The 23,885-nt window shown below is 41.2% G+C and overlaps 1 protein-coding gene across 25 annotated transcripts in view, besides 2 other annotated features; it reads left to right on the plus strand.

The window, feature by feature from the left end:
• Positions 1–11,836, plus strand: part of RXFP1 (relaxin family peptide receptor 1) — a 131,659-nt gene extending 119,823 nt beyond the window's left edge. For 20 of the 25 annotated variants that reach the window (NR_045579.2, NR_045580.2, NR_045582.2 and 17 more), the window contains 4 exons: positions 3,373–3,602; positions 5,255–5,665; positions 6,963–7,181; positions 10,221–11,836. Coding sequence is in view for 19 of the 25 variants with exons in the window: in NM_001363776.1 (NP_001350705.1) it covers positions 3,373–3,602; positions 5,255–5,665; positions 6,963–7,181; positions 10,221–10,519 (1,159 nt within the window). In the remaining 6 variants the exon portion in view is untranslated. Of the gene's footprint in view, positions 1–3,372; positions 3,603–4,766; positions 5,146–5,254; positions 5,666–6,962; positions 7,182–10,220 lie in introns of those variants that run through there. The other 5 variants (XM_011532179.3, XM_017008523.3, XM_017008524.3 and 2 more) reach the window with 2 other exon arrangements.
• Positions 14,850–15,373: an enhancer, noted in NCBI's record as "NANOG hESC enhancer chr4:159577538-159578061 (GRCh37/hg19 assembly coordinates)". NCBI's record gives its function as "activates a minimal SCP1, AML or CMV promoter by ChIP-STARR-seq in naive H9 embryonic stem cells {active_cell/tissue: H9 hESC(naive)}" and the evidence as "EXISTENCE:reporter gene assay evidence [ECO:0000049][PMID:30033119]".
• Positions 17,926–18,432: an enhancer, noted in NCBI's record as "OCT4-NANOG hESC enhancer chr4:159580614-159581120 (GRCh37/hg19 assembly coordinates)". NCBI's record gives its function as "activates a minimal SCP1, AML or CMV promoter by ChIP-STARR-seq in naive H9 embryonic stem cells {active_cell/tissue: H9 hESC(naive)}" and the evidence as "EXISTENCE:reporter gene assay evidence [ECO:0000049][PMID:30033119]".

Consider the following 23,885-nt stretch of genomic DNA (forward strand, 5'->3'; position numbering starts at 1 on the left):
TCAACACTCCTTCTTTCCTCATGTTCTGCTCTCCTGTCCTTCATGGTTTACAGAATAAATGGATATAACCGAATGGGGAAATATCAGCAATTGACCTTGAGCTTGACAGGACAAATTGTAATCATCAGGTTTTTATCTTTTCTTATTATAGCTCTTTATACACTAAAGATCGTTTATATTTTTTGGCAGAACACATGGCTTTATAGACAAATAGATCTAATTTGAAGTTCAATTTGCATATTTAGTAGAAAATTTCCTAGCAAATAACTTGCCTCCACTGAAGATTCATCTCTTCCTATTAATGATGCTAACACCTACCTCACGGAATTCATTTGAGAACTTATTTCTGATACTTAAGAAATGCTCAATAAAAGGTGTTGGTGTTGGTGGTAACACAATAGTAATTATAAATTATCCACATGGTATATTTATCAACAAGGAAATTCTCTCTGTTGATGAAAGAAGTCACTCAACAAATATTTATTGAACGCTTTATTATGTACCAAAATCTAGTGTGAGAGATAGGCATGTTAGCAAGTAGTTACAGATAATATAACTTCTTTTTTTTTTCTTTTACTGTGGCACTTCCACGTTTAAAATCTTTAATATTATTTTGTTATTTTTATTAATTGACAAATAATAATTGCACATCTTCATGGGGGTACATAGTGATGTTTTGGTACATACAATGTATAGTGATCAGATCAGGATAAAGGATAATTAGCATATCCATCCTCTCAAACATTTATCATTTCTTTATGTTTAGAATATTCAATATCCTCCTTCTAGCTATTTGAAACCATACATTATTGTTAACTATAGACATCCTACCATGGTATAGAATATGAGAACTTATTCTTCTTTCTAGTTGTAACTTTGAATTCTTTAATAAGTCTGCCTGTCTCTTCCTTCTCCTTACCCTCCCCAGCCTGTAGTATCCTCTGTTCTACTTTTACTTCTGTAAGATCGACATTTTTAGCTTCCATATATGAGAACATGAGGTGTTTAACATTATTCCTGGCTTATTCCACTTAATGTAATGTCCTCCATTTCCCACCTAGTTGCCACAATGACAGAATTTCATTCTTTTTTTATAGCTGAATATTCCATTGTGTATATCTACCACATTTTTTTATCCATTCATCTGTTCATCAACACCTAGGTTGACTCCATATCTTGGCTATTGTGAATAGTGCTGAAGTAGCATTGTTTGTATGGGGTAATTCCTGAGGTTTGTTGCCTCACGCCAAGGAAATTAAGGACGTGGACACACAGGGAGTGAGGTTAAGAGCAGAGGTTTAATACGGGAGAGAAAGAGAAAAGCTCTCTCTCCTGCAGAGAGAGAGGGGCTCCTGAATAGGTCTTCCAGTTCTGTGGTGAAATGCACAGGGTTTTAATACAGTAGCTTGAGGAAGCCATGTTTGATTTACATAGGGCCCAAAAGATTGCTTGGACCAGGTGTGCCATTTGTATAGCATGCGAAGAAGCTGGCTGCCCCACCCTAATCTTTCATTATGCAGATGGGTTCTCTACCTGTTTGGCACCATGTTGTCTGCTTCTTTATTGTACATGTGGTTGACAAAGAAAAGGAAAGATGGAGCCTCCATGTTGAACATGCTTGGCCCCCAGGTAGCCTTTTCCTATTGGCACAGCTGCCAGCATTCACCTGTGCAAGCTTCTAGCTTGCTTTTCTATGTCTGCAGCTTAATTTTTCAGGCTGCTCTTTGTTAGAAAAGAAATTATTTGGGGCTGCTTTTTATTAAAAGAGAAAGCTTACCAAGGACTCTCTTACCCTCACTAACTGCCTAAATACTTTCTTTTTAGCTCCTGTATCAGTGCTGCAATAAACATGGGGGTGCAGATATCTCTTTGATATGATTTTCTTTTCTTTGAATAGATTCTCAGGAATGGGATTCCTGGATCATATGCTAGTTTTTTTTTTTTTTTTTTTGGAGACAGAGTCTCTCTTTGTCACCCAGGCTGGAGTGCAGTGGTGCAATCTCGGCTCACTGCAACCTCTGCCTCCACAGGTTCAAGCGATTCTCCTGCCTCAGCCTCCCAAGTAGCTGGGACTACAGGTGTGCGCCACCATGCCTGGCTAATTTTTTGTATTTTTAGTAGAGACGGGTTTTCACCGTGTTAACCAGGATGGTCTCAATCTCCTGACTGCGTGATCCACCCACCTCGGCCTCCCAAAGTGCTGAGATAACAGGCATGAGCCACTGCTCCCAGCCCACATGCTAGTTCTATTTGTAGTTTTCTGAGGAACCCCCATATTGTTCTCCGTTCTCCATAGTGCCTATACTAATTTACATTCCCGCCAATAACAGTTCCCTTTTCTCCAGATTCTCATCAGCATTTGTTACTTTTTGGTCTTTTTGATAATAGCCATCCATCCAACGTTGGAGTAAGATGATACCTCATTGTGGTTTTAATTTGCATTTCCTTGATCATTAGTGAGGTTGAACATTTTTTCAAGCATAGGTTGGCCATTTCTATGTCTTCTTTTTTTTTTTTTTTTTTTTGGAGACAGAGTCTCGCTCTGTCGCCCCCAGGCTGGAGTGCAGTGGCACGATCTGGGCTCACTGCAAGCTCCGCCTCCCAGGTTCACGCCATTCTCCTGCCTCAGCCTCCCGAGTAGCTGGGACTACAGGAGCCCGCCACCACGCCTGGCTAATTTTTTGTATTTTTAGTAGAGATGGGGTTTTACCATATTAGCCAAGATGGTCTCAATATCCTGACCTCGTGATCCACCCACCTCGGCCTCCCAAAGTGCTGGGATTACAGGTGTGAGCCACCGCGCCCAGCCTTGTATGTCTTCTTTTGAGAAATATCTGTTCAGATCATTTGCCTACTTTTTAATGGGATGTTTTCTTTTCTTTTTTTCTTTTCTTTTTTTTTCTTTCATTGGTGTTGAAATAACATCATAACTTCAATAACAAAAAGCCACGGAAGCACAGAAAAGAAAACACTTAACTCTTCCCCTGAGGGATAGAAAGCAGTCACTTGCAGCACAATAGGAGCTGTGTAACTGCATTTACGTATACTAACCATTGCGAGTACGATAACGGTTTCTCTGGAGGGATTCATTCTCTTGATCACATCTAACAGTTTGTATTCTAAGACATGTCTAACACTTGTTATGTTTATTATGCCTATTTGCTACTCTCACCCACACATTCTTTAACAATGAAATCAAGCTAATGATAATTGGATGTAAGTTTAAAGTTTCAGAATCCCTAATGTTTTAGTCCTCTCAATTTCATCTTAAGACATTTTCTTTCTACCGATAAAATGTAGGAAATAAATATGAATGTATGGTGACACTGAATTAAATGGAAAATCTTATTTTACTTTCTCTTTGTACACCAGATATTTTAAGAAATTCCAGTACTGTGGGTATGCACCACATGTTCGCAGCTGTAAACCAAACACTGATGGAATTTCATCTCTAGAGAATCTCTTGGCAAGCATTATTCAGAGAGTATTTGTCTGGGTTGTATCTGCAGTTACCTGCTTTGGAAACATTTTTGTCATTTGCATGCGACCTTATATCAGGTCTGAGAACAAGCTGTATGCCATGTCAATCATTTCTCTCTGCTGTGAGTATTTCCTGGTTAAAGGAGAATTGTAGTTTTGAAATATACAAAAGCTTTATTATTAGAAAATAAGTTGTGTGAGTGGTAGAATTATGGAATTTTACATTTTTCTCCTTTTTGCTTGTATGCTGTTTTCACATTTTCTACAAAGAAAATAGAATTACTTTAGCAATAAAAAAATATGTTTTTTAAACTAGGAAATTTAATCACCTTATGCAAATTAAGGAAGCTTTCATTTATTAGTTCTCTCTCATACAGTGGCTCCGAAGGCACAATATTTTGTTGACGCATCTAAAATCTTTTACTACAAATAAAATTGCAACCTCCTATGGTCACAATTTTACATGCAGACCTATACTTACTTTTTTATGTGTATGTCCAGTTCACAGATATTGACTTAACAACTACATGTTTTCCTGATCTCTGAGCTACTAGAAGTTTTTTCCACTCTAACTGAAATGTGTAAATAAGAAAATATTTTTAGGGAGTATTCATTTTTTCAAAAAGTGTGCGCAATGTAATGGCAAGGTGTTATGTTAAATGAACACTGCAAAGAAAAATAAGGAAGAAACCAGTCCTCAGGATGTTTGTAGTCTAGGTCAAGTGTTCTAGAATTTATCCATGCTCCCTCAAGCAAGTAAAGCATCAATCTACATGAGGTTCTACTTTTGTATGTGTGCTGCCCCCATGTGCTGTCCCCATCCTTATTCAAAGTCTAATGTCTAAATGTTTTTTTTTTATTGCAAGCTATGTAAGAAACAGAACTCAGAAGCCATTTACTATTTTGTATTGCTAGCTACAAAATTTTTAGTAAGTTCAATTTCCGTGGTGAAGCCTAGACTGTAACTTCAGAGTTAAAGGCTTAGGGTCAGCCTTGTGATTTATACAGTGATGTGATTTTAGGGATTTTGTGTAGAATGCTTGTGCGATCCAAAAATCTCACCCACTTTCTGATATGTAACGTTTGCTTAAAAAGAAATATGCCAAGTAGTGTAAGAGAGCTAATTCCTGGGATCGGAGACCCTAAAAAGAGACAGAAAAAGATGTAAAAATTGAAAGAGAGAGAAAACAGTTTTGCTTAGACCAACTCTGGTAAGTAATTTAAGCCCCTTAAAATTGTACTGACTGCAAAGCAGTTCATAATTATACATATCTCTTAAATTATAGGCTTCAGAATTCAGTCATTATTCTATCATAGGAACTTGTGAATTACTTTCTCCAAGATTTTATATGACACCTTGAGCTTGTTGCGTTGGGAGAATTTCAGTGGAAGAGCAGAACCAAGTAATGCCATCCTCATCTGAGTCCCTAACTGAATGCTCTACGTGATTGCATTTTGTTCATTTATTCGACACTTCTATGTGATGGGTCTAGAACAATAGACAAGATCTGTGCTGTTAGAGACTTGCACTTTAAAGGAAAATGAAGAAATGATTGCATAATTAACTGTAGAGAGTAACTTTGAGAGTGGTTACCAAAGAGAGTCTATGAATAGATCCTCATCTGTAAATGAATTATTAGGAGAATAAAAATTACCTCTTCCTAAGTTGGAAGAAACTTGACTATTTTTTCTAGCATTAAAAATATTATTGCTTATTGATGATTTTATGATACCTATTTATTTCTCTAAATTTGTGAAACTATGACTCCTCTAGGTGCCGACTGCTTAATGGGAATATATTTATTCGTGATCGGAGGCTTTGACCTAAAGTTTCGTGGAGAATACAATAAGCATGCGCAGCTGTGGATGGAGAGTACTCATTGTCAGCTTGTAGGATCTTTGGCCATTCTGTCCACAGAAGTATCAGTTTTACTGTTAACATTTCTGACATTGGAAAAATACATCTGCATTGTCTATCCTTTTAGATGTGTGAGACCTGGAAAATGCAGAACAATTACAGTTCTGATTCTCATTTGGATTACTGGTTTTATAGTGGCTTTCATTCCATTGAGCAATAAGGAATTTTTCAAAAACTACTATGGCACCAATGGAGTATGCTTCCCTCTTCATTCAGAAGATACAGAAAGTATTGGAGCCCAGATTTATTCAGTGGCAATTTTTCTTGGTAAGAAACTAAGAAACTAATGTTCACAAATTTTTATTTCAAATCTTCCAACCAGTTTTTGTTAGTAAGAATGAGGGTGAATTCTATCAGAATCCCCAGCAAGGATTTTCCTCCCCAAATTATACTCTGATATAAATTCCAACCTGACACAGCTTAATAAAAGACACTAAACACCTGTATTTCATGTATTCACCCTAAACATGCTAAGCAACATATGTTTTGGCTCTTTGTTTTACAATATGAACATAATGATATTTATTATCTTTTCAAATTCATGGCAACACACATCTTTGGCTTGTGAGTATATATACAACTGTTCTAAATCAGCAATGTAAAAATATTTTCAGAGTACAGCAAAAAGTAACTGAATTAGAAAAAAATCACTAGGCCAGGCACAATGGCTTGTGCTATAATCTCAGTACTTTGGGAGGCCAAGGTGGGAGGATCACTTGAGGCCAGGAGTTGAGACCAGCCTGGGCAACATAGCAAGACCCCATCTCTACAAAATTATTTTTAAAAAATTAGCTGGTGTGAGGCCAGGCACGGTGGCTCATACCTGTAATCCCAGCACTTTGGGAGGCCGAGGCGGGCCAATCATAAGGTCAGGAGTTCAAGACCAGCCTGACCAATATGGTAAAACCCCATCTCTACTAAAAATAGAAAAATTAGCCGGGCATGGTGGCACGCACCTGTAGTCCCAGCTACTCGGGAGGCTGAGGCAGGAGAATTGCTTGAACGCAGAAGGCAGAGTTGCAGTGAGGCAAGATAGTGCCACTGCACTCCAGCCCGAGCAACACAGCGAGACTCCATCTCAAAAAAAAAAAAATTAGCTGGTGTGATGGCATGCACCTGTACTCCCAGCTACTTGGAAGGCTGAGGCAGGAGGATTGCTTGAGCCCAGGAGTTTGAGGCTGCAGTGAGCTATGATTGTACCACTGCACTTCAGTCAGTGACAGAGCAAGAACCCATCTCTAAAAAAATTAAAAATAAAACATCACTAATACTAGAAAGCTTAAAAACCCAAGATATTCATTGAATTACTGTAATTTCAATATCTCATTTTAAAAGTAAACATTTTATCATTCTTCACTACTTCCACAAAACCTCATCTCAAAAAAATTCATGATTTTTGTGGACTTTAGTAATTCTTTGTGAAGAAAAAACCCACACATTATAGTCTTTGTATCTTTAGTAATAACATCTTTGTATCTTTAATAATAAAAATGTTTTATTTATGTTTGTTCATTTTGAAAGAAATATTTCTATGCATTAATAATACTGTTTGTATTCCAAATAGGTATTAATTTGGCCGCATTTATCATCATAGTTTTTTCCTATGGAAGCATGTTTTATAGTGTTCATCAAAGTGCCATAACAGCAACTGAAATACGGAATCAAGTTAAAAAAGAGATGATCCTTGCCAAACGTTTTTTCTTTATAGTATTTACTGATGCATTATGCTGGATACCCATTTTTGTAGTGAAATTTCTTTCACTGCTTCAGGTAGAAATACCAGGTACAATATTTTTTAATCTCCTTAAAGAAATAATAAATCTGTTTTTACAGTGTTCTTTTAAGGAAAACAATTAAAATTCTTAACACTAAACAATTCAAAGAATTGTACATCAGATCCGAGCACAGTGGCTCATGCCTATAATCCCAGCACTCTGGGAGGCCAAGACGGGCAGCTCACTTGAGGTCAGGAGTTTGAGACCAGCCTGGCCAACATGGGGAAACCCCATCTCTGCTAAAAATACAAAAACTAGCTGGGCATGGTGGTGCACCGCTGCAGTCCCAACTACTCAGGAGGCTAAGGCATGAGAATTGCTTGAACTCAGGAGGCAGAGGTGGCAGTGAGCCGAAATTGCACCACTACACTCCAGCCTGGGTGACAGAGCCAAAAAAAAAAAATTGTAAAAATTGTAAGTCAGAGTTGTAGGTACTTTTGGCTCTGCTCATCAATATAACATTTACTGGGGAAGAACTGTTTATTTTTTTCCATAAATGCCTAACAATACAATTACTATGGAACAAAGAAGCAATGAGTGACCAAAATAAATTCCACACGGTGTTGAAATTCTAATCATCACATGCTTAAGGTGACTAGAAAGGAAAACAGGCCAAAACAATTCTTAAATAATTACTGCATTTTTTTTCAAAATGTAAGAAAATTTTCTTCCTGTAATACATGCAATTTAGAGAAGATCATGCCAGAGTGTGAGAGATAATAGAAGCAAACATTCTTGGCATTTAGAAAGAACGTTGGCTGGCATGTTGCCTCACGCCTGTAATCTGGCACTTTGGGAGGCCAATGTGGGAGGATCACTTGGGCCCAGGAGTTCAAAGCTGCAGTGAGCCATGATTGCACCACTGCACTCCCGTCTGGGTGACAGAGCAAGATCCTGTCTCAAAAAAATAAAAATAAAAAATAAAAAATAAACAATGTGCATTACATCCATTAGGATGACTACTATTTTAAAAAAACACACATACAAAAAAATAAGTGTTGGTAAAGTTGTGGAGAAATTAGAATCCTTGTGAATTGCTGGTAGAAAAATAAAATGGTACAGCTGCTATGGAAGACAATATGGCAGTCCCTCAAAAATTTAAACCATCCAATGGTTTAGTTACCATCCAATGTGGAAATGGTCCAGTTACCATCCAATGTGGAAATTCTCCTTCTAAGGAAAAAACCAAAACAATTGAAAGCAGGGACTCAAAGAGATATTTGTACACCCATGTTCATTGCAGCATTATTCACAATAGCCAAAAGTTAGAAGCAATACAAATGTCCATAGATTGGTAAATGGATAAACAAAATGTGGTACATACGCACAATGGATTAGTATTTAGTCTTGTAAAGGAAGGAGATTTTGACAAATGCTGCAATATAGATGAACCTTGAAGATACTGTGCTAAGTGAAATAAGTTAGACACAAAAGGACAAATATTTTATTTCACTTACATGACGTTTCTGATATAGTTAGATTCATAGAACATAGAACGGTGTTTTCTAGGGGTTGGGGGAAGGGAGAATGGAGAGTGTTTAATAGGCATAGAGTTTCAGTTTGGGAGATGAAATCATTCTGGAGATGGATGGTGGTTATGGTACAATGATATGAACGTACTTAATGCCACTGAGCTGTCCACTTAAAATGGTTACATGGTAAATTTTATGTTATGCATATTTTACCACAATGAAAATGCATATATCCTGTTAAATATATATAAATATATATATATATATATAATGCAGTTTGTATTCACATTTTAAAATTTTCATGTAGCAGGGCGCAGTGGCTCACACCTGAAATCCCAGCACTTTGGGAGGCTGAGGTGGGCAGATCACTTGAGGTCAGGAGTTGGAGACCAGCCTGGCCAACATGGTGAAACCCCATCTCTACTCAAAATACAAAAATTTAGCTGCGCCTGGTGGCATGCACTTGTAGTCCCAGCTACTTGGGAGGCTGAGGCATGAGAATGCTTGAACTTGGGAGGCAGAGACTTCAGTGAGCGGAGATTGTGCCATTGCACTACAACCTGGGTGATAGAGCAAGACTCTATCTCAGGAAAAAAAAACAATTGTATATATTAATACATAATTTTAATTGTGTTCTGTACTATGGATGATGGTGATAGTATCTTACATTTTATGAACAACAAAAAGAAGGCCAAGTGGTGAAGACTGATTGAACCCAGGAGATTGAAACCAACCTGGACAACACAGGGAGACCCTGAGACCCCAACTCTTCAAAAAATAAAAAAATAAAAAATTAACCAGGCATGGTGGCACATGCCTGTGGTCCCAGCTACTCAAGAGGGTGAGGTACAAGGATCGCTTGGGCCCAGGAGGTCAAGACTGCAGTGAGCCATGTTCACACCACTGCACTCCAGCCTGAGCGACAGCATGAGACCCTGTCTCAAAAACAAAAACATAAAAACAAAGAGTAATGACAGCATCAATTAAATTATAATCAAATCAGAGTATTTTGGTATTTCTATATATATTAGAGTGATTTTTAAGATGGGTTTAGCCAAAGTTATTTTTTACAGAAATAAATATCTGGTCAAAAGCTAAAAAAATGCACACTTTGTTTTAAAATCAAATGGCAAAAAAGAAATCTATTAAATACAAGCTTACATATTCTGACAAATACTATATGCACCATTAAAATACTCAAAAAGTGTTTTAATTATTAAGCACTTAAATTTATGACTTAAATACTAAACAATATGTTTTTCCTAAAATATAATCATAATATGTAATCACTTTGTGAAAAATATTTCTACCTAAAGGAATATTTTTGTTAGTGTATTCAAGAAGAGCTACTTAGCAAAGAATACCATTCTTTTTCAGCACTAGCATTCCCCTCACACACTGGCACTCTGGAAAGATATCTTGGAAACAAATATAGACTTGGTATTTAATTATGTGACATCAAAGGAAAAAAATCAAAACTCAAAAAGGGGTTGGGATGAAAGAAACAGGGAAATTGGGTTTCTATACCTTGTAAACATCTATAAACACTAAAACTATTTCATTTTTCTTTTTTAGGTACCATAACCTCTTGGGTAGTGATTTTTATTCTGCCCATTAACAGTGCTTTGAACCCAATTCTCTATACTCTGACCACAAGACCATTTAAAGAAATGATTCATCGGTTTTGGTATAACTACAGACAAAGAAAATCTATGGACAGCAAAGGTCAGAAAACATATGCTCCATCATTCATCTGGGTGGAAATGTGGCCACTGCAGGAGATGCCACCTGAGTTAATGAAGCCGGACCTTTTCACATACCCCTGTGAAATGTCACTGATTTCTCAATCAACGAGACTCAATTCCTATTCATGACTGACTCTGAAATTCATTTCTTCGCAGAGAATACTGTGGGGGTGCTTCATGAGGGATTTACTGGTATGAAATGAATACCACAAAATTAATTTATAATAATAGCTAAGATAAATATTTTACAAGGACATGAGGAAAAATAAAAATGACTAATGCTCTTACAAAGGGAAGTAATTATATCAATAATGTATATATATTAGTAGACATTTTGCATAAGAAATTAAGAGAAATCTACTTCAGTAACATTCATTCATTTTTCTAACATGCATTTATTGAGTACCCACTACTATGTGCATAGCATTGCAATATAGTCCTGGAAGTAGACAGTGCAGAACCTTTCAATCTGTAGATGGTGTTTAATGACAAAAGACTATACAAAGTCCATCTGCAGTTCCTAGTTTAAAGTAGAGCTTTACCTGTCATGTGCATCAGCAAGAATCATAGGCACTTTTAAATAAAGGTTTAAAGTTTTGGAATACTCAGTGTATTTGCATCATAGAAAATGTCTGACTGTTTGCAAAATAATATTCTGTTTTAAGAATCCATCTTACCTCTCTTTAAGTTTCCATACACTTGAGAGCCAACACAACATATTTATTACTAAAAAGATGCTTTGCTAGAAACTCAAAAACAGCACTTCTTTTGGCACTTCCTGCCCAGTTTTCTCTTTGCTTTAAATGAACATCATCATATGGAATTGGAATAGGAGAGTATGAGTACGGCAGAGAAGTGGATCAGAAAAACTAGAATGAGGATAAACATTTACATTAGTGGAAACTCCTGAAATAAATCCTTGTATTGTCAGTTAACTGATTTTCAACAAGGATGCCAAGACAAAAAGGCTTTTCAACAAACCGTGCTGTTTTAAGAACAGACCTAAGTGGTTTAATTCACCCACTTTAGATGGGTGAATGTTATGGTGTGTGAAATATCTCAGTAAAGCAGTTAAAAGGAAAAAGAGCTGGAATGCACTGATTCAGGAACTTAATTTCAGGAAGGAAAGGTCTGTATGTACACATTTCACTTTAAGCAGAAAATCTTTCTTCAAGAAATGACTTTACTTTCTCTTTGCACTGCCAGCACGTGAGATACTAACTTTTTAACTAGTTGTTCTTCTCTAGTCTCTACGTTATTAGAATTTTTTGCTTTCATAATGTGAAACCTTTAAGCAGGAGAAGAAAATGTTTTCAGATAGTTTCAAATACACCAAAAATGTTTGAAACACAAAAATACTGGAATCAAACCATAATGCACTTATTGAATATATAGTTGTATAGATTTGTTCTGAAAATAAATTATCTGAAATTTAACTATTAAAAATGGATTGCTTCGGGGTTTTTTCTCTGCTTACTTGGAATAATCTCAATAAGTTTTCTACATGAAGAACATGGTATAATTTCAATATAACTCAGAGCATAATAGAAAACTATAGTTCTGCTTATAATATTCAATAATATAACTACTGATAGTTCTATAATAAATAAAATAGCCAGGTGCAGTGACATGCAACAGTAGTCCCAGCTACATGAGAGGCTGTGTCCAATCTGGGCAACCTAGTGAGACACTGTCTCTTAAATATAAATAAATAAATAAAATAGGCTGCAATTTTTAAATTTAAAGATAGCCTACAAAAAGTAAATTTAAAAAAGCTTATACAAAATGAAAGACCAAGTGCAGTGGCTCACACCTATCATCTCAGTACTTTAGAAGGCCAAGGCAGGAAGATCATTGAGGCCAGGAGTTCAAGACCAGCCTAAACAACGAGACCCGAAATTATAAAATAAATTAGCTGGGTATGGTGGCACATGCCTATAGTCCTAGTTAATAGGGAGGCTGAGGTGGGAGGACTGCTTGAGCCCAGGAGTTGGAGGCTGCAGTGTTCTGTGATTGTGCCACTGCACTCCAGCTTGGGTGACAGAGCAAGACCTTGTCTCTGAAAACAATTTTTTTAAATTCTTTGTTTTGTTTTTTGTTTTTTTTTTTTTGAGACAGCCTCACTCTGTTGCCCGGGCTGGAGTGCAGTAGTGCATCTCGGCTCACTGCAACCTCTGCCTCTGAGGTTCAAGCAATTCTCCTCTCTCAGCCTCCCAGGTAACTGGGACTACAGGCACGCGCCACCACACCTGGCTAATTTTTGTGTTCTTAGTGGAGACAGGGTTTCACATGTTGGCCAGGCTGGTCTCGAACTCCTGACCTCGTGATCTGCCCACCTCGGCCTCCCAAAGTGCTGAGATTACAGGCATGAGCCACCGTGCCCGGCCTAATTCTTTCTTAAGATTATTTTAGGATTAGTTCCTTAGAAGTCCTATTACTACTAATTCCAAGTAATAGAATAGGAAATTTTATTTTTATTTATTTATTTTTTATTTTTATTTTTATTTTTTCCAAGATGGAGTCTTGCTCTGTCACACAGGCTGGAGCGCAGTGGCGCAGTTTCAGCTCCCACTGCAACCTACACCTCCTGGGTTCAAGCAATTCTCCTGCCTTAGCCTCCCAAGTAGCTGGGATTACAGGTGCACGCCTCCACGCCCAGGTAATTTTTGTATTTTTAGTAGAGATGGGGTTTCACCATGTCGGCCAGGCTGGTTTCAAACTCCTGATCTTGTGATCCACCTGCCTCGGCCTCTGAAACCAAAGTGCTGGGATTACAGATGTGAGCCACCACGCCCAGCCTTTTTTTTTTTTTTTTTTTTTTTTAAGATGGAGTCTCTCTCTTGTCGCCCAGGCTGGAGTGCAGTGGCATGATGTCGGCTCACTGCAGGCTGGAGTGCAGTGGCATGATCTCAGCTCACTGCACCCTCCACCTCCAGGGTTCAGGTGATTTTCCTGCCTCAGCCTACTAAATAGCTGGGATTGCAGGCTTCCACCGCTATGCCCGGCTAATTTTTGTATTTTTAGTAGAGACGTGGTTTCACCATGTTAGCCAGGCTGATCTCAAACTCCTGACCTCAGGTGATCCACCCACCTCGGCCTCCCAAAGTGCTGGGATTATAGGTGTAAGCCACCGCACCCAGCCAAATATTTTTATTAAAAAGAATAACCAAAAAAGAATAAAAACAATACTCATGGATACAAGAAATTTAGTCCAACAAAAATCATGGTCTTAACCTGTTTAAGAGTCTTAGAAATGCATTAAATTTACGAAGTACACATCTGAAACTTCCTTTAGCATTTAACATATTTTTAAACAACTTTCTAGAGGCCATTTGACTTCCTGTCTGCTCAACCCATTCGCTCTTCCACCCTTCGACCTCCTGAAATAGAGTAACTTCGATTTAATTTAATTTGATAAGTAATTATTAACATACTACATAACTATCTCCTTAGAAACTTCCACAGATAATGCAACAGAAGCACTCAGTTAACTACGATTTGTATCAAGGTTTGCTTAGAAATGTAGCTTATAACCATGATCTAGGTCAAATCAATCCTCTAAATCAAGCCAGCCTAAGTTGTTTTAAAAATCTAAAGTTTATATCAGGAAAACCTCAACTTTTATTTTTTACATTTTTTAAGAATTACTAATTCATCATACTAACACATCATCTCTCCTAAATGACTGGGTAAACCTTGGCAATTTAGATGTGGATAAAGTAGAAGGCAAAGAGCAAAGTGGAAGGAAGACACAGCTGGAATTGTAAAGCCATGCATTTTACTCGACAAAGTGTCAAGTGAATTGCTCTAGGTAAGAGACCTCAAAAATACAAAAAGTGGTTTACTTTTTATAAAATTGCTTCTCTTTTAGAGAAAATCTTTCACTGGAAGCTTCATTCACTCTTGTTTTAAGCCTTTTTCTTATCTACAGACTACTTTAATATGTCCTCAGATACCGTGGATATACTAATGATTCCCATATTTTTGCCTTTAGCTTATTCTATCCCCTAAACTGCCCACTTGTGTATACAACTGCCCACTTGACATTTCCACTTGAGTATCTCACTGGCTTTTTAATGTCATTATTCTGCATTAAATAATAGACTAGAATCTGACATCTGATTCTTCTCCTATAGACCCTGTCTTGCTGAATTGCACCCGATGGCCCAAGCTCAAAATCTGGGAGTCATCCTTGACTCTTCCTTCTCCTTTATCCACAATATCAAATCACCCAGTCCTCCCTTGATTCTACCTCATACACATCTCTTAAATCCTTCCACTCTCTTCATCCCAATTCCCAGTACCTTAGTTTGGGCCAACATTATGTCTCATTGGGATATTTGCAATAACCTTTTAACAAGCCTCCATACCTCCAGTTCTAATTTGGTCAATTGATCTTTATAGGTTTTTAGAGCTTACGAAAAAAATTAAAAATAATCTTAGAAAAAAAATTGAGTGTTATACAGTTACTAGCACAAATATTCTGCTTTTGGATGTTGTATTATTTTGGGTTTGCCATAGAAACAGAGAGAGAGATTCTAAGGAATTGTCTTATATGATTATGGAGACTGGCAACTCTAAACATCTGCAGGGCCAATGTCCCAATTGAAAGACACACAGGCTGTTTAGAACCAGGAAGAGCCAGTGCCAATTCAAAGGCTGTCAGGAAGAGCTGATTTTGGAAGACCAGGCCTTCAGGCAGAATTCTCCCTTGGTGGGGGAGGGTCAGCCCTTTGTTCTATTCAGGCCTTCTAGGGATAGGATGATCACAACACACACTAGAAAGGGCAATCCACTTTACTTAGTCCACTGATTTACATGTTGGCTTCATCCAAAAACATCCTGACTGAAAAGTGAGAATATTATCTAAACAAATATCTCGGGATCTGTAGCCCAGACAAGTTGAAACATAAAATTAACCATCACACATGGGGAGAGTAAATAATATAATAAGCCTGAGTATTAATAAGTCTAGCTAGGTGGCTAGGTGTGGTGTAGACAAGCGTACCAGTTTTGGTGTCAAGACTCACAGGCATATTTTATCTCAGCCTGTTTCAGTAAACAGTAATGACACTTTCCTCAAAAAACTGATTTGGTTACATGAAAAAAGCTTTTTTTTTTTTTTTTTGAGATGGAGTTTCGTTCTTGTTGCCCAGGCTGGAGTACAGTGGCGCAATCTCAGCTCACTGCAACCTCCGCCTCCTGGGTTCAAACGATTATTCCGCTTCAGTCTCCCGAGTAGCTGGGATTACAGGCACCTGCCACCATGCTCAACTAATTTTTTGTATTTTTATAGAGATGGCGTTTCATCACGTTGGCCAGGCTGGTCTCAAACTCCAGACCTCAGGTGATCTGCTACCCCACAACCCCCCAGCCTCCCAAAGTGCAGGTGACAGGTAACAACATGCTAGCAGCCCTGGCTTGCTCTCGGTGCCTCCTCAGCCTCAGTGTCCACTCTGGCTGCACTGGAGGAGCCCTTCAGCCCGCCAATGCGCAGTAGGGGCCCCTCTCTGGGGCTGGCTGAGGCCAGAGCTGGCTCCCTCTGCTCGCAGGGAGGTGTGGAGGGAGAGATGCGGGAGGGAGCTGGGGCTGCATGCAGTGCTTGTGGGACGTCGTGGGTTCTGGGTGGGTGTGGGCTCAGTGGGCCCTGAACTAGGAGTGGCCGGCCAGCACCTACTGGGCTTGATCAGGGGGACGAGCTCCCTCTGGGCTGCCAGACTGTCTGGGCTAGGAGCCACAAAGTCCCACGACGAGTGCCATTGAGAGGTGAAGCTGGCTAGGCTTCTGGGTCAGGTGGGGACTTGGAGAACTTTTCTGTCTAGCTAAACGATTGTAAAGGCAGCAATCAGCATTCTGTGTCTAGCTAAAGGTTTGTAAACTCAACAATCAGTGCTCTGTCAAAATGGAACCATCAGCTGTCTGTAAAACGGACCAATCAGCTCTCTGTAAAATGGACCAATCAGTAGGATGTGGGTGGGGCCAGATAAGGGAATAAAAGCAGGCCACCTGAGCCAGCAGTGGCAACCCGCTCGGGTCCCCTTCCATGCTGTGGAAGCTTTGTTCTTTCTCTCTTTACAATAAATCTTGCTGCTGCTCACTCTTTGGGTCCGCGCCACCTTTATGAGCTATAACACTCACCACGAAGGTCTGCAGCTTCACTCCTGAAGCCAACGAGACCACAAACCCACCGGAAGGAATGGACAACTCCAGACGTGCCACCTTTAAGAGCTGTAACACTCACCGTGAAGGTCTGCAGCTTCACTCCTGAAGTCAGTGAGACCATGAGGCCACCAGAAGGAATAAACTCCGGACACATCTGAACATGTGAAGGAACGTACTCCAGACACACCATCTTTAAGAACTGTAACACTCACTGCGAGTGTCTGCGACTTCATTCTTGAAGTCAGCGAGACAAAGAACCCACCAATTCCGGACACATTTTGGCGACCACGAGGGGACTATCGCCTATCGTCAAGTGGTGAGACTATCGTCAAGCGGTGAGACTATCGTCAAGCAGTGAGACCATCGCCTATTGCTGAGACCATCGCCTATCGCCAAGTGGAGAGTCCCATCGAACCCCTTTCGCTTGCTATTCTGTCCTATTTTTCCGTAGAATTCGGGGGCTAAATACCGGGCACCTGTCAGCCAGTTAAAAGTGACTAGCATGGCCACTGGACTAAAGACATGGGTGTCAGGCTTTCTGGGAAAGAGCTCTCTAACAATCTCCGACTCTTCAGAGTTGGGAGCATTGGTTTGCCTGGAACCAGCTTCCGCTTTTCCTGTACTTCTGGGCTGAGCCGAGCATCGACAGAGAGGAAAGCCATTCAGCTCCGGGGTGCCGACAACAAGTTGGTTGACCCAGCAGCCATGAGCGGAACTCTCAAAGGCATGTCGCCCAAGTGAGACTCACCCATCTATCCTATCTATCCTGACCCTTGTCCTCTGGGTCCTAATGCTTGCCAGACAAACTTCCCCTTGCCTCTTTTCTCTGAGGCTAGCCTCCCTTCTAAAAACCACTCCCTATCTCTGGTGCTTTTCTAGTTTCTCCTATAACAATGATTTCTAGTATCAACTTCAGGACTCTGTTACCTTCTTTAGGCACCCAGGCTCACCAATCAGAAAGACATAATTTTTGCCCAAAGCCCCATCATAGGGGGAACTATCTGGAATTTTAGGATACCTCCTCAGACAAGCAGGCGTAACAAAAGCTATTCCTGAAGCTAGGATATGGGGAGCCTCAGAAATTGTATCCTTCCTGTTCATATAAGTGAGGACAAAAGGCATCACTCTTCCAACTCTGGAGATCCCTTCCCTCCCTCAGGGTATGGCCCTCCACTTCATTTTTGGGGCATAACATCTTTATAGGACACGGGTAAGGTCACAATACTAACAGGAGAATGCTTAGGACTCTAACAGGTTTTCGAGAATGTGTCGGTAAGGGCCACTAAATCCAATTTTTCTTGGTCCTCTTTGTGGTCTAGGAGGACAGGCAAGGTTGCAGGTTTTTGAGAATGTGTCAGTAAGGGCCACTAAATCCAACCTTCCTCAGTCCTCTTTGTGGCCTGGGAGGAAAACTAGTGTTTCTGCTGCTGCGTCAGTGAGTGCGACTATTCCAATCAGCAGGGTCCAGGGATGGTTGCAGGTTCTTGGGCAGGGGTTGTTTCTGCTGCTGCGTCGGTAAGCACAACTATTCTGATCAGCAGGGTCCAGGGACCATTGCAGGTTCTTAGGCAGAGGGAGAAACAAAACAAACCAAAACTGTGGGTGGTTTTGTCTTTCAGATGGGAAACACTCAGGCATCAACAGGCTCACCCTTGAAATGCATCCTAAGCCATTGGGGCCAATTTGACCCACAAACCCTGAAAAAGAGGCAGCTCATTTTTTTCTGCACTATGGCCTGGCCCCAATATTCTCTCTCTGATGGAGAAAAATGGCCACCTGAGGGAAGTACAAATTACAATACTATCCTGCAGCTTGACCTTTTCTGTAAGAGCGAAGGCAAATATGGAGAGAAATACCTTATGTCCTAGCTTTCTTTTCATTGAAGGAGAATACACAACTATGCAAAGCTTGCAATTTACATCCCACAGGAGGACCTCTCAGTTTACCCCCATATCCTAGCCTCCCTGTAGCTCCCCTTACTATTAATGATAATCCTCCTCTAATCTCCCCTGCTCAGAAAGAAATAAGCAAAGAAATCTCCAAAGGACCACAAATCCCCCCGGACCATCAGTTATGTCCCCTTCAAGCTGTAGGGGGAGGGGAATTTGGCCCAACCTGGGTACATGTCCCCTTCTCCCTCTCTGATTTAAAGCAGATCAAGGCAGACCTGGGGAAGTTTTCAGATGATCCTGATAGGTATATAGATGTCCTACCGGGTCTAGGGCAAACCTTCGATCTCACTTGGAGAGATGTCATGCTACTGTTAGATCAAACCCTGGCCTTTGATGAAAGGAATGCAGCTTTAGCTGCAGCCTGAGAGTTTGGAGATACTTGGTATCTTAGTCAAGTAAATGATAGAATGACAGCCAAAGAAAGGGATAAATTCCCTACTGGTCAGCAAGCCATCCCCAGTATGGATCCCCATTGGGACCCTGACTCAGATCATGGGGACTGGAGTCATAAACATCTGTTGACCTGTGTTCTAGAAGGACTAAGGAGAATTAGGAAAAAGCCCATGAATTATTCAATGATGTCCGCCATAACTCAGGGAAAGGAAGAAAATCCTTCTGCCTTCCTTGAGCGGCTATGGGAGGCCTTAAGAAAATATACTCCCCTGTCACCTGAATCACTCAAGATTCAATTGATTCTAAAAGATAAGTTTATTACCCAATCAGCAGCAGATATCAGAAGAAAGCTCCAAAAGCAAGCCCTGGGCCCTGAACAAAATTTGAAGGCATTATTAAACCTAGCAACCTCGGTGTTCTATAATAGGGACCAAGAGGAACAGTCCCAAAAGGAAAAGTGAGATCAGAGAAAGGCCACAGCCTTAGTCATGGCCCTCAGACAAACAAACCTTGGTGGTTCAGAGAGGACAGAAAATGGAGCAGGCCAATCACCTGGTAGGGCTTGTTATCAGTGTGGTTTACAAGGACACTTTAAAAAAGATTATCCAATGAGAAACAAGCCAACCCCTCCTCCATATCCACTATGCCGAGGCAATCACTGGAAGGTGCACTGCTCCAGAGGACAAAGATTCTTTGGGTCAGAAGCCCCCAACCAGATGATCCAACAACAGGATTAAGAGTTCCTGGGGCAAGCGCCAGCTCATGTCATCACCCTCCCTGAGCCCCAGGTATGTTTAACCATTGAGGGCCAGGAAATTGACTTCCTCCTGGACATTGGCATGGCCTTCTCAGTGTTAATCTCCTGTCCTGGACGACTGTCCTCAAGGTCTGTTACCATCCGAGGAATCCTGGGACAGCCTGTAACCAGGTATTTCTCCCACCTCCTCAGCTGTAATTGGAGACTTTGCTCTTTTCACATGCCTTTCTTGTTATGCCTGAAAGTCCCACACCCTTATTAGGGAGGGATATATTAGCAAAGGCTGGAGCTATTATCTACATGAATATGGAGAACAAGTTACCCATTTTTTGTCCCCTACTTGAAGAGGGAATCAACCCTGAAGTCTGGGCATTGGAAGGACACTTTGGAAGGGCAAAATATGCCCATGCAGTCCAAATCAGGCTAAAAGACCCCACCACTTTTCCTTCTCAAAGGCAATATCCCTTAAGGCCTGAAGCTCATAAAGGTTTACAGGATATTATTAAACATTTAAAAGCTCAAGGCTTACTAAGGAAATGTGGCAGTCCCTGCAACACCCCAATTCTAGGAGTACAAAAACCAAACGGTCAGTGGAGACTAGTGCAAGATCTTAGACTCATCAATGAGGCAGTAATTCCTCTATATCCAGTTGTACCCAACCCCTATACCTTGCTCTCTCAAATAACAGAGGAAGCAGAATGGTTCACTGTTCTGGACCTCAAGGATGCCTTCTTCTGTATTCCCCTGCACTCTGACTCCCAGTTTCTCTTTGCCTTCCAGGATCCCACAGACCACACATCCCAACTTACGTGGACAGTCTTGCCCAAAGGGTTTAGGGATAGCTCTCATCTATTTGGTCAGGCACTGGCCCAAGATGTAGGTCACTTCTCAAGTCCAGGCACTCTGGTCCTTCAGTATGTGGATGATTTACTTTTGGCTGTCAGTTTGGAAGCCTCATGCCAGCAGGCTACTCTAGATCTCTTGAACTTTCTAGCTAATCAAGGGTACAAGGTGTCTAGGTCGAAGGCCCAGCTTTGCCTACAGCAGGTCAAATATCTGGGCCTAATCTTAGCCAGAGGGACCAGGGCCCTCAGCAAGGAACAAATACAGCCTATACTGGCTTATCCTCACCCTAAGACATTAAAACAGTTGCAGGGGTTCCTTGGAATCACCGGCTTTTGGCGACTATGGATCCCCGGATACAGCGAGATAGCTGGGCCCCTCTATACTATAATCAAGGAGACCCAGAGGGCAAATACTCATCTAGTAGAATGGGAACCAGGGGCAGAAACAGCCTTCAAAACCTTAAAGCAGGCTATAGTACAAGCTCCAGCTTTAAGCCTTCCCACAGGACAAAACTTTTCTTTATACATCACAGAGAGAGCAGGGATAGCTCTTGGAGTCCTTACTCAGACTCGTGGGACAACCCCACAACCAGTGGCCTACCTAAGTAAGGAGTTGATATAGTAGCAAAAGGCTGGTCTCACTGTTTATGGGTAGTTGCGGCGGTGGCCGTCTTTGTGTCAGAGGCTATCAAGATAATACAAGGAAAGGATCTCACTGTCTGGACTACTCATGATGTAAATGGCATACTAGGTGCCAAAGGAAGTTTATGGCTATCAGACAACCGCCTACTTAGATACCAGGCACTACTCCTTGAGGTACCTGTGCTTCAGATACATACGTGCGTGGCCCTCAACCCTGCCACTTTTCTCCCAGAGGATGGGGAACCAATTGAGCATGACTGCCAACAAATTATAGTCCAGACTTATGCTGCCCGAGATGATCTCTTAGAAGTCCCCTTAGCTAATCCTGACCTTAACCTGTATACCGATGGAAGCTTATTTGTGGATAATGGGATATGAAGGGCAGGTTATGCCATAGTTAGTGATGTAACCGTACTTGAAAGTAAGCTTTTCCCCCACGGACCAGTGCCCAGTTAGCAGAAATAGTGGCACTTACCCGAGCCTTAGAACTGGGAAAGGGAAAAAGAATAAATGTGTATACAGATAGCAAGTATGCTTATCTAATCCTACATGCCCATGCTGCAATATGGAAAGAAAGGGAGTTCCTAACCTCTGGGGGAACCCCCATTAAATACCACAAGGAAACCATGGAGTTATTGCACGCAGTGCAAAAACCCAAAGAGGTGGCAGTCTTACACTGCCGAAGCCATCAAAAAGGGGAAGGTGAGGGGAGAACAGCAGCATAAGCAGCCGGCAGAGGCAGAGAAAGACCAGCAGAGAGAGAGATACAAAGTCAAAGAAGGAAAGAGAGAAAGAGACAGAAAGGAAAGAGAGAGAGACAAAAAGTCAAAGAAAGAAGGAGAGAGAGAGGAAGAGACAGACAAAGAAGGAGTCAAAGAGAGAGACAGAGAGGAAGAGAGAGACAAAGAAGTCAAAGAGAAAGAGAGATGGAAGTAGTAAAGAAAAAACGGTGTACCCTATTCCTTTAAAAGCCAGGGCAAATTTAAAACCTACAATTGGTAATTTAAGGTCTTCTCTGTAACCCTATAACACTCCAATACCACCTTGTTGTCAGTGTAAACAAGGGCATAGCCTGAAAGCACTGAGGCCACTGACAACCCATAGCCTTCCTATCAAAAATCCTTAACCCAGCAGGTTTCCTAATAGGAGATCTAAATCTGAAGGTCTGACCACACATAGGAGGAACTCCCTTCAGGACAGGATGATAGATGGTTCCTCCCAGGCAATTAGGAAAAAAGACACAATGGGTATTCAGTAAGTGATAAGGAAACTCTTACAGAAGCAGAGTTAGGAAAATTGCCCAATAATTGGTCTGCTTAAACGTTCGAGCTGTTTGCACTCAGCCAAACCTTAAAGTACTTGCAGAATCAGGAAGGAGCCATCTATACCAATTTTAAGTTAATATGGACTGAACAAGGTCTTATTAATAGCAAAGAATAATTGAAATCCCAAACTTACAAGGTTTTCAACTAAAGTAAAGTTTGCTAAAAGTTAGTAGTGTAACATGCGTTATCATACTGCCACACACTCTCAAAGGATTTCTCAGTTTGCAGGAAGTGATGAAATCTATCCTTACTCTACAATCCCAAATAGACTCTTTAGCAGCAGTGACTCTCCAAAACTGCCAAGGCCTAGACCTCCTCACTGCTGAGAAAGGAGGACTCTGCACCTTCTTAGGGGAAGAGTGTTGTTTTTACACTAACCAGTCAGGGATAGTACGAGATGCTGCCTGGTGTTTCAGGAAAAGGCTTCTGAAATCAGACAACGCCTTTCAAACTCTTATACCAACTTCTAGAGTTGGGCAACATGGCTTCTCCTCTTTCTAGGTCCCGTGGCAGCCATGTTGCTGTTACTCGCCTTTGGACCCTGTATTTTTAACCTTCTTGTCAAATTTGTTTCCTCTAGAATCGAGGCCATCAAGCTACAGATGGTCTTACAAATGGAACCCCAAATGAGCTCAACTAACAACTTCTACCGAGGACCCCTGGACCGACCTGCTGGCCCTTCCACTGGCCTAAAGAGTTCCCCTCTGGAGGACACAACTGCAGGGCCACTTCTTCGCCCCTATCCAGCAGGAAGTAGCTAGAGCAGTCATCAGCCAAATTCCCAACAGCAGTTAAGGTATCCTATTTAGAGGGGGGGATTGAGAGATGACAATGTGCTAGCAGCCCTGGCTCGCTCTTGGCGCCTCCGCAGCCTCGGTGTCCACTCTGGATGCACTGGAGGAGCCCTTCAGCCTGCCGCTGCACTGTGGGGGCCCCTCTCTGGGGCTGGCCGAGGCCGGAGCCGGCTCCCTCTGTTCACGGGGAGGTGTGGAGGGAGAGGCATGGGTGGGAGCTGGGGCTGTGCACGGTGCTTGCGGGCCGGCGTGGGTTCCAGGTGGGCTTGATCGAGGAACGAGCTCCCTCTGGGCTGCTGGAGTGCCTGGGCTAGGTGCCACGAAGTCCCACGGCAAGTGCCATCAAGAGGTGAAGCCGGCTAGGCTTCTGGGTCAGGTGGGGACTTGGAGAACTTTTCTGTCTAGTTAAAGGATTGTAAAGGCACCAGTCAGCACTCTGTGTCTAGCTAAAGGTTTGTAAACTCACCAATCAGCGCTCTGTCAAAACAGACCAATCAGCTCTCTGTAAAACGGACCAATCAGCTCTCTGTAAAATGGACCGATCAGCTCTCTGTAAAATGGACTAATCAGTAGGATGTGGGTGGGGCCAGATAAAGGAATAAAAGCAGGCCACCTGAGCCAGCAG

This window comes from Homo sapiens, chromosome 4 (genome assembly GCF_000001405.40).
Source record: "Homo sapiens chromosome 4, GRCh38.p14 Primary Assembly".
Classification (NCBI taxonomy): domain Eukaryota; kingdom Metazoa; phylum Chordata; class Mammalia; order Primates; family Hominidae; genus Homo; species Homo sapiens.